The following is an 11,550-nucleotide window of genomic DNA, read 5'->3' as shown; positions in this document are numbered from 1 at the left end:
ATAAACAAATGGTATCACGCTACCCAACTGCTCAAAAGACCCATAGCTTCCCCCAAATCCAGGTGGCCCTTGAGATATAGGTCTGCCTGGTTCACGGACCTTCTTTTTTTTTTTTTTTTTTTTTTTTTGAGGCGGAGTCTCGCTCTGTCGCCCAGGGTGGAGTGCAGTGGCGCGATCTCGGCTCACTGCAAGCTCCGCCTCCCGGGTTCATGCCATTCTCCTGCCTCAGCCTCCTGAGTAGCTGGGACTACAGGCGCCCGCCACCGTGCCCGGCTTTTTTTTTTTTTTTTTGTATTTTCAGTAGAGACGGGGTTTCACCGTGTTAGCCAGGATGGTCTCGATCTCCTAACTTCGTGATCCACCCGCCTCGGCCTCCCAAAGTGCTGGGATTACAGGTGTGAGCCACCGCGCCCGGCCAAGAGTACTATTTTTATAAAGTAAAGAAGGTCCAGCAGGGTGCGGTGGATCACACCTGTAATCCCAGCACTTTGGGAGGCCGAGGCGGGTGGATCACGAAGTTAGGAGATCAAGACCATCCTGGCTAACACGGTGAAACCCTGTCTCCACTAAAAATACAAAAAAAAAAAAAAATTTTTTTTTTGAGAGAGATGCTGAGGCCAGACCTTTCACCAGCAAATGTTAGGAAGGAAGACAGGGCTCAGGGGTTAGAGTGTATTTGAAGGTCATGGCCCTGGATGGACCAGACAGGCAGACAAGCATCTTCCTTGGGTCTGCATGTATTCTGTAGCACAGAGTAATGGAGAGTTGGTTCCCTGAAGCCAGCCTGTCACATTAGGAGCCAACTGCTGTCCATGACACCCGGTGACAGAAACAGTCTTAAGCGAAAGGCACAGCAGGTAAGTGTAAGGTGACTCATGTTGTTGTTAGCTCTCCACCAGAGTTAGAACATCCCCAGCAGCCAGGAACCAGCATTGTGTCCAGTGACAAGGTGCTTCTTCATTACAGGGTTAGTGACCTCAAGGAAAGATCCAAATGATGGCCCAGCCCTTGAACACCATTGTTTTTCCAATAACTCAGAAGCATTTTGACCATGACAAGCCTTTTGAGAAGCCCATGCCCATAATGGGTCCATCTTCCTTGGACAACTACAGCCAGCAGGAAGCCTCACAGTGCACTATCCACTGTGGCCATCTACACCACCTCCCTGGCTATTTTAGGGCTATCCAGCTCCAGATAAAGGAAAACTCTAATATCGCTCTGATTCATGATCTTCCATCTATCTCACAACTAATGGGCTAATGCTTTTCAATAATTCCCAACTATTTAGAAGATGCCCACTTCTAAATAGTTTTCCTCAAATACTAGTGGACCTCCTCCCAATTGTGGTCTGCTTGCACAAGTGACCAGTCTAGGATAACATATCTCTCCACCCATCCCCTCTGTCATCTGTGGAACCAGCAGTGAAAAAACACTGGGGAGAGCCCTGACCCTGTGGGAATTCCAGGTCGAGGACCTGGTTTTATCCCCTCTCGCTGATGAGTTAAATTCTTTGGTTCCTTCTTTAATCCATTTCTACTCAACTCTGACTAATTTTATCACAAGATTTTCTCTGCGGCTTTATAAAGCTAAATGTTTTCTTAAACCTACATGTTGAAAGGTATTCCCAATGGTGCCAATTCAAAGGTGTTTGGCAGAACATTTTAAAAAAATATATCCATCTACCTTTTTTTATCATTTCACAGGTTTTCTCTTGGCTTCTGAACTTTCTTTACTATTAATATAGGTCCCATTATTAAGTCAAAAACTACAATGTGCCTCCTTTCCTGGATAAGAGGAGTAGAAAAGAGAGAGAAGCAAATATCAAAACTGACAAATTGAAATTTCGAAAGGATTTGAGTTCATGGTAAGATCAAAGTAGGCCCCTTTATAGTCACATAAGAAACTGAGGAATTAGATACCTTTGGATAGGCAAATACTATCTTTGTGAGTTCGTGACAGGCAATGACAAATAATAAATAGCCTTCTCTGGTGGCAGATACAAAGTCTTCATTTCTACCTAGCATCCAAATTTGAACATAAATGTGAGTACTGAATATTAGAGACACCAAAGCTAAATGCTTTGAGTGACAAGTCATAATAATAATAATAAAATCAAATAATATTACTATGTGTTTACTTATATAATCATTACAACAATTTTATAAAATGGATCTCATTTAACTCATTTTCCAGATGAGGAAACAGTCCATAAGGATTAAGTAGGTTTCGCAAATTTACACAGCAGTACAGTGGCCCAAAGTTCTGATGTCCAGAGCCTTCCTTCCATTCCAGTACACCATCTTATCTCTTCTTCAGTGTCTCCTTGACCAACAATCAAATCTTCCATCTAAATAGTCCTTGGCAATAGCTCAGCCTCTCAAAAGGCCAAGTGTAGACTGCTGTTTGGAAGAGGAGAGTGCTTTTGATCCCAAGTGTACATGTCCATTCATGGGTCTTTATGTTTGAAAAGTTCTGACAACATCACTAGTCTGACTCTAATTTGATTTGTTTTCTAAGTAATGGTAGAATCAAGGTCTGCTCCCCAGAAACTGTTTAGCCATGGAGTCAAAAATCCCTTGTTTCAGTTACTTTTAGGATAGCTCTGAACGCAGCAGCCAACACATAACCTCTAAGACAGATGTTAGAAGAGTTCAGCGGTCTGCGCTCACCAAGCTAATGAAGGTGGAGTTCAGTTTGAAGCTTGTATGGAAAGTGATGGAGTGTTAAGTCAAGGGCACTGCTTTGTAGTGACACAGATCCACGTGTAAATCTGGGTGCCCTCCCTGATGAGTTGCATGAAGTCAATCATGGCTCTTCCCCTCCTCTGTACCTCAGTTTCCCTTATCTGTAAAATAATGAAAATAATATATTTCTTTTAGGGTGAACCTGAGGATTAAATAAGATAACATGTGTAATATAGTGGGCACATACAAGGCTTCAATAAATATTGATACATGTTACTTCTTTTTTTTTTTTTTTTTTTGAGACAGAATCTTGCTCTGTCTCCAGGCTGGAGTGCAGTGGCACGATCTCAGCTCACCACAACCTCCATCTCCTGGGTTCAAGCGATTCTCCTGCCTCAGCCTCCCAGGTAGTTGGGATTACAGGCACCTGCCACCACGCCCGACTAATTTTTGGTATTTTTAGTAGAGACGGGGTTTCACCATGTTGGCCAGGCTGGTCTCAAACTCCTGACCTCGTGATCCGCCTGCCTCAGCCTCCCAAAGCGCTGGGATTACAGGCGTGAGCTACTGTGCCTGGCTGATATCTGTTACTTCTATCCATCTTCCAAAATAAATTTAAAGACAACAACTGACTTCTAACCAAATTAATAATTATAGTATTAAAGTTCAGTTCAAAATAACTTGTATTTTATTCATATTACACTGAAGCAAAATGACAATCCATAACAATTTTTAAATGCCCTGTTTTGTTTTATTGTTTAAAATATTTATCAGATGTCATTCAAATATGGTAGGGGCTGCTACAAGAGGCTCCATGAGTCCCTTTCAGGTCTGCAGGTAGAAGACAATCTGGAAGACTTGTCCAAAGGAGTCTCTTGTCTACCCCAACCCTGGTTCTAGATTTGTGTCAGAGTAGTGAAATTAATTACAGAGTGATAATTAATTATCTGTAATGGAATGAAATGGAATAGAATAAAAAATATCCTAGTACATCCTACATAGTGAGGTGATTGTTTTATGAAATGTTTCATTTTTATAGACATGCATGTACATCTATATATGTATATGTGTACTAGATGTCACTATCAAATATATTTCTTACTTAGAGTCTCAATCTAACACGTTTGAATGCCACCTCTTTGAATGGTACTCCCAAGGCCCCAGTTTCAGGTCTTTCTCAATGGCTAGAAGGTTCTAGAAATTTGAGGATGGCCTGGGTGACGTGTCATGGTAGCACCTTGTGAAGTTGAGTCTGGGGCATGAGAATTGGGCTCAGCTTGCTACTCATGATGTTCTACTCTGTCATCTTAAACTTTGTCCACAGAGTTGGTCCATCCAGAGACAAAGATCAATGGCTACGGGACGGACACATGAAGTTGTCAGAGCAGAGGTGGCATAATTCTATTTGCAAACAGCTGCAGTGTAGGCACAGCCTCTGTTATGTGTTAAGCACTTGTGCTCATTCCATTTTCAGGAGACTCTGCCATTAACTCAATAAAACACACTGTCCCTCCACGGATCTCCAGCTGAGACAGGGCTGAGGGTTGGGGAAAAGAAGAGACAGGGGGAAAGTTTTCTTTGGCATAAATACTAACTTATCCAGTCTCTTGGGATTATTTACTTCCCTTAAATAATGGTCTATTATCTTTCTTTTATATCTTCTTCTTGTACCATAAAGGAGAACAGTTGAACTGTGATTTTATACTTAGAGACTTGATACCGCAGTATCTTCTAACAGTTCTTGTTTTTTTTAATTCCTACTTGTCCTCTTCCACCACTTCTCATTTCAGATATCTATGGCTAAACCATGATATATGTGATTTACCTTTAAATTTAGTTCCAGAAGTAATATATATGCCTACTTTTTAAATATAATTGGATTGATTTTGATTACAGTTGTAAGGAGAAAATTTCAAAGAGACACCATCAGATCAGATAGAGAATGTGTTAATATAATCAGAGCTTCTAAGAAAAAGCAATTTTGACAGATTAGGAATTGTATCTTTGTGTGGCTACTGCCCAAGTTGTCAAACCCCCTTCCCATGGTGACAGCAGCCTCCCTCAAACTTCAGGAATGCCGTCTTCTCATCACATTGTGAAAAGCCAGCCTGGAGCTATATTTGGACCTTTCTGTCAAAGAAGAATAAGAAAGAGGAAGTAAAGCTCCTACTTGAAGTTTGCAGCAACTGTTCATGGTGATATTACTGCAGAGGCTCCATTTTACAGATACAGAAGCTGAGGTATAAAGAGAAAAAAATTACTTAACTTATCCTTCTGAGAAAGGGGTCTCTGTTCATCATGCGAATACTGGCAATGTTGCTGTGTCTCAAATTTGTCTCTATTTCAAAAATCCACCAGTGACTAAAAAGGTCTTAATATTAGCTTGAAATGTGAAATTACTAGTAAGTAAAATCCATCAGAGAGGACTGGGAGCCCATCTCCATAGCTGTGGAAGATGTGGGAAGGCAGATATAGCCTTTCCCAATCTCTGCACAGCCATGAGGGATGCTGGCAAGAAACTAGCCACCAGCCTAGGGAAAAAGAGCAAAGCAGCAGCACTGAGTGAACAAAGCAGATATTTAGTGCTTATAGATAATATCCAACTCCAGCATCAGCGAGAGCTTGGCCGGGGAGGGCATCTCCTAGGAAACCATCAGATAACACTGGGAGAGACAGGCTTTAACATAAAAAGAGCTGCAGGGGAAACAATACACGTTAGCTAGAAATGAACTGTGTTTCATAATGCAGCAGTCATTTTCTGTACAACAAACAGGCCTGCACTGCTCACTTGGTTGCATCTGTGCTCAGAGCAGGGAATCCTATGCTCCCGGCACTCTGGAGGTCAGCACCCCCATCTACCAGGCGAGGCGGGAGAAGCCAGCCTGGCCAGGCCAGACAGAGAGCAGACAACTCACCTTTCCAGTCAGCCCTGGGCACTGGAGGCAACAACAGTGATCATAACATGCAGAAAAAGCATGATACTGGGACGGAGGGACCAGGCTCTAGACCTGCAGGGTGACATGCATGGCAGCATACGTAGTCAACAGAGCCCCAAAGCCCTCCAACCTTCCCTTTCTCCACTGCTCATGACCTCATCTTTCCCCTGTCTCTCCTCCTCCAAACACACAGGAGCACACACACACACACACACACACACACACACATATACATACACACATGCACACATGTACACACATGCATCATACATATGCACATATACATAACAAACACATACACACACATACAGTCATGCCTACTTAACTACAAGGATATGTTCCAAGAAATGCATCATTATGTAATTTCATTGCTATGCAAGCATCACAGAGTATACTTACACAAAGTCACATGGTGTAGCCTACTATACACCTAGGCTGTATGGTGTAGTCTATTGGTCCTATGCAACAAACCAGTACAGCATGTGACCACTGCATACCATAGGCAGTTGTAACACAATGGTAAGTATTGGTGTATCTAAACATACCTACATAGAAAATGCACAGTACAAATGTGGTATTATAATCTTATGGGACAACCATCATATAGATGATTTCTGATTGACCAAAACAGTATTATGCAGCATATGACAGTACATACACACACACACACTCACACTCACAAACACACACGCACACGCTCACTCACACTCACATGCCTTTCAGAGGCCTGCTCCACTTTAAAAAACTACTTCCAGAATTCATTGGGAGGTTATCTCAAAAAAAGTAAGCTCCTTTAAAGATATTCCTTCCTTCATTCGTTCATCTGCCTGTTTGGTCAAGGGAAACATGTGTGGACGTGCCTATCATCTCCTAGGCACATTTCTGGAATGAAGCCTAGGGGAGATGAACATCTCTTGCCAAGCACCAAGTCCCAGGTCAATGCCAGCAGAGCCAGAGGTAGGACCTGGGAACGTTAACCTCTCACTGATAACTGCTTAAACTCTTGGTTGCCTAGCAACAGGTGGTAATAGCACAATCACAAATAAATATACTGCAGAATAATCTCAATGTTGTCATTTAGCTGGGTTTTTAATGGAAAAAAAAAAAGCTTCCTTGGAGAATTGGAGAATTCAAAGGTTGTTTCCATGTTGCTGTTGTTTCCTTGCTGGACGTGGTGCTCCTATCTGGTTAGGGACATGTTTCCATCCAAATGCTTCTCCCTCCCAAAGGTGCCCTTTTGAGAAAACGCATGTAGGCCTGCCTTGGTAATCGAAGACATCAGCCATCATAGCTCTGACCAGCTCACAGGGGCTTCGATCCAACATTTCGGCTCTGTCCTGGTGACCAAAACTTTCTGAAACTCATCTGAGCTCCCTTCAAGACGGAATGGTTTCCGAAGTCAAGAAAGTATGGAACAAAAATTGCCAGGGAATTAAAAAGACAAATCATTGTCATGTCCATTAAAAGGAATATAAGAAGTGTGACTTTTTTTGAAGGAAGAGGTTAGAACCATAGACTCGCATTCTGGTAGGAGGATTTCAGGGTATTCATATTCATTTATTACAGGAGTGGAAAGTGCACGGGTTTAAGATCAGACAGATCTAGCCGAATCCTAGACTTGTCACTTAAAGTCTACAAATCAAGCCTCAGCTTAATCCATAATTCAAAAAAAGAAAATCATCCTGAAAGCTATCCCACCAAACTGTTGTAAGGATTAAGTGAGCTAAGTAAGAGAACATGCCAATTCCAGTCAGGACGTATAGTACGTGTTTAATAAGCACCCCGTCTACCGCCTTGCTTTCTACTGGACAGAAATGGCAATGCCCTTGGTCCTCTTCCAGTTACAGTAGCTTCAGTTGCTCAAACAGGCTCCTGCTGCATTAAAAGAGAGCTCTAATTCAACCTCCTCACAAATGCAAACTGACTGTTCCATTAGGACACATTAGTAATGCTCCCTGGTACTAACAGTGAAAGAGTCACACTCTACATTTTACAAACTCTTTAAAATACTCTCCTCTCTCAATCTGTCACAGCTACTTCTAACTAGAAATCCCTCCCCTCTCTCCCCTCTCTCTCATGGCCCCCGCTTGTCCACTGTCTCTTTTATTCCATTTCCACCTTCAGCCCTCACCCTGGACACACTGACCTCCCCTTCCCCTCTTCCTGCTAAATTTAGAGGCGAGCTGTCTCCCTGGTGTGAGAGGTCCGGGGGCTGTGGCAGCAGGGTACAGAGCTGATCTGGAGTTGGCTGTCGGCAGTGAGGGAAGGACAAATGTCAGGGAGACCTGCTCCCTGGCCGCCCTCCCTCCAGCCCCAGCACCACTCCTCAGCAGCTTCTCTTGACAGGCAGGGTAAAAGGAGGAGGGCATGGGGGCCTTGAAGTCTGGCTGCCTGTCACCAGAGCTCAAAGAGACCAAGGGCTTGTCAGAGCACAAGTCACTGGGGCTCTTTCCCTTTCCTAATTAATTCAGTTGAGTCTGGAAGGAAAGGAATTGTGATATACCCAGAACTGAGTGGAAAGCACAGCTTACCGGTGCAATGCTGCAGCGTCTTAAATCTTTTCCAAGTGCCAGACCCCCAGCCTTGGCAGGATAAATTTATTCACCCCTCCCAGAGCAGCATCCCCTGGGCAGCTGACCCTGAGGTGGCCATCTAAAGATCCGTTCCTGTCCAGGCATGGTGGCTCACGCCTGTAATCCTAGCACTTTGAGAGGCCAAGGCAGGTGGATCACCTGAGCTCAGGAGTTTCAGACCAGCTTGGTCAACATGGTGAAACCCCACCTCTACTAAAAATACAAAAATTAGTTAGGCATGGTGGCACATGCCTATAATCCCAGCTACTTGGGAGGCTGAGGCAGGAGAATCGCTTGAACCTTAGAGGCCAAGGTTGCAGTGAGCCGAGATTGCACCACTGCACTCCGGCCTGGGTGATAGAGCGCGACTCCATCCCAAAAAATAAAAAAATAAAATATAATAAAAAAAAATCCATTCTCCTCTCTTGATCCTTGGTCCATGTGCTGGCCAATGTCAGAAATCCTGTCCCCAGAGCTTTCTCCCTTCCTCTGGGCTGTACTTCTCCCCATCCTTCAAGTCTGCCTTAAAGCACCAGTCTTTAAAACGGAATGGGTGAATTTCATGCCTTTTCTGAGAACATGTTTGGAAAAGCACAAATCCTCTGAAGATGAAAAGAGGTGTTGGAAGAATTGCCAGAAGAAAGAGGAGACCCCAAAGGCAAATGTCCTTAACTCACCATTTAGCCCATTCTCCACCTTAGATCACTGTTCTGATTCTGAAGTTGTAATGTAACTAACCTTATTAAGTCCCTGCTGTGCAACTTGCATAGCTGCGCTCACCTATGCTCTGTCCTATAATCTCTCTCCAAGGAGGGGCCAGCAAGAACAACCCACACTCTCTCGTCACCCAGGCCCACATACTTCGAGTCTTCTTAAAGAATACATAGAAAGGCAGAAAGCAGAAGGAGGCATCAGGAATAGCTTCATTTGCAGTTCTGGAATGGCATCAGGTCAGCACTCAGAAATGGAGGGGAGAGGCTGGAAATGAGAGCGCTCAGGGTTAAAACCAGTGTTGGCTGAAGACACTCTGAAGATGATCACCGAAAGAACTTGTTAAAGTCAAGCACTTGTAGGGAGAACCTGACCTTCCTTTTCCGAAAGACACTTCTTGGATTAGGGTGGCAGCATGTACCCTAGGGTGGCAGTGTAGACAGCATGGGATTAGAATTCAGAAGTCCTGAGTTCTGGTGTCAGCCCACTCTCCAATCAATGAGATGGTTCTAAGTCACTTCATCTCGCTGAGTCTTATTTCTTAGATCTGTAAAAATAGAGGGCAATAGGCACCTGATCTACCTCACAGGAGTGGTGTGAAGCTCAAGGTCACTGGTGGATGGGGAAGAGTTTTGTAACCTGTGATTTAGGAGTTCTGGTCATACAGTTGGTGTCAGTGGCAACACTGACAACACAAAGCTGCATAGAAGTATGTGGAAGGAGAAGTGATCCCTTTAAGTCATAGGTTGCAAGGTAACGTGAGGTTGAGGAGCCAGGTGTGGGTTTGGCGGCTGTAGCTTCATGCTTCATGAGAAATACCAGTACATGGGGCCTGTTGGTCACATTCCTGCCGCTACCCCATGTCATTAACATTCTTATAATCAAACCAGCAGCACAAGGGTGGGGACAATTTGTTCATTCAGTGTGGTGTATCCAGGTCTTTTAAAGAAATACAATATATGCAGGAGATTGTAAATGTCTATGAAATGCTGGGGCAGACAGGTGTTCTATCATTATATAGTATAACAACACATTTCAACATTTTATGACTCTGAATCTGAGCCTCCTTTCTCATTCAATGGCTACCTTTCACTAGTTTGGCCTTAGATGAAGTGTGCAAGGGTGTCATTCTAAGAAAATCAAACACACAGTCATAAAATGGTTGAGTTCAATGTTTGTCCAGGGTCCTCCCCGCCAGGAGCAGATTTCCTGATAACTCTATAACTGTCCAGGAACAGTGGCTGTGTATAGACCTAAAACAATGCAGCCTGATCAGCTATTTTATAATATGTCCAAGTTCGAAGAAATGGGAGCATTCTGCTTGTGCCCGTCTGTTATAAATTACAAGCAATTGCTGCAGCCAAGGCATTCTCTTCAGCCAAAGAGTTTCGGCTAGCAGAGGACCACACGCTTGAACAGAATCCTTAACTGCAGCTGAAGCTCAGGAGCCTGTGACTGGTCTGGCCTCTGTTAACCTCTAAGCTGCAGGCCTCATGTCGAGGAAGAAAGCCAGGCTCTGGGGACTGGAAGTGAGTGAAGAAGTGAACAAATAACTTGGTAACTTCACCTGACAGTGTAGCTTCCTGTGTCTTCCCATTGCATATTTTATTCACAACCTGATATTGTGTATATGTGAAAGCTCCAGTCACTGAAGAACATATAAGTCACCAAAAAGGAGAATCATTCATTAGTTCAACAAATAGTAGTTGAACATCCAGGATATTTCAGAAGCTGTGGCAAGAACTGGGTTTGTAAACATAGAGGGGTGTCTAATTCTTCCCTTATGAGTTACCCACAGACGTATACATAGAATGCATTAACCAGGTCTGATAGCAGAAGAATAAGGAGAAGAGTATGTAGAGGTGACCCTTAGCAGAGGACACTGGCAGGCTGACTCGATTGTGTCACCCTCCGAGGGGCTGCCAGGCCAGCTCTTTCGGCTTGGAGTTGTCCCTCTTTCTGCAGAGTTGGGGGATGATAAGACTCTGCCCAGCTCTCCTAAGGAAGCCACTGTAAGGACTGCAGAGATGGGCACCTACCAGGACTTGTGAGAGCACAGTCTGACTTTATGTCCTCGTGTAGAGCAATGGAAATGAATATTTAAAGGTATGGAGCCATAAAACCGTGGGATATGAGAAAAACATCAGCCTTTGAGACCCGGCTGCTCCATGCTGCTTCGTAATATGCACGTTTATAGCTCCCCAACTGTCTCCTGCTCATTCACAGAAATGCCACACCCGAAAATTGGCATCATGCCCTTCACCCTCAAAGTTTAAAAGTCACGGAGAGCAGTTCTCCTAATTGTAGAGCTAAGTGGAGCGGAGCAAAGGCACAGCTGCTGCCCCCTGGGCCTGCGCGGGCCCCGAGGAGCCAGCCACGCCCCATCTGCCTGTGGCTCAGCACGTGTGAACGTGGGTGCCCAGGGCAGTGAGACAGGATGGGAAGCAGACTTTGGGGTGCGGCGATGGACCTGTCAAAAGGAAACTGGACTTCATGTTTTATTCTTTTGTCAAGTACTTTCCTCATTACAGTACAGTAGTTAAGAAAATATTTCAACTAAAGCTGTAGCTCAGTGTTTTCTTCCAGATTTACATATTAAAATACTAATCTTTGGGGGTGTTTTCATACAGACCCATACTTGCACAG

General features: G+C 44.0%; 1 long non-coding RNA gene across 1 annotated transcript in view; it reads right to left on the bottom strand.

Annotated features, from left to right (window-relative positions):
• Positions 1-2,117: 2,117 nt before the first annotated feature.
• Positions 2,118-11,550, bottom strand: part of LOC105374317 (uncharacterized) — a 64,310-nt gene continuing 54,877 nt past the window's right edge. The window contains exon 4 of the long non-coding RNA XR_002959373.2: positions 2,118-2,845. This is a non-coding gene — a long non-coding RNA (uncharacterized LOC105374317). The remainder of the gene's footprint in view (positions 2,846-11,550) is intronic.

The sequence above is a fragment of the Homo sapiens genome, chromosome 2 (assembly GCF_000001405.40).
Source record: "Homo sapiens chromosome 2, GRCh38.p14 Primary Assembly".
Taxonomy (NCBI): domain Eukaryota; kingdom Metazoa; phylum Chordata; class Mammalia; order Primates; family Hominidae; genus Homo; species Homo sapiens.
This window is presented reverse-complemented; position numbering and strand designations above follow the sequence as displayed.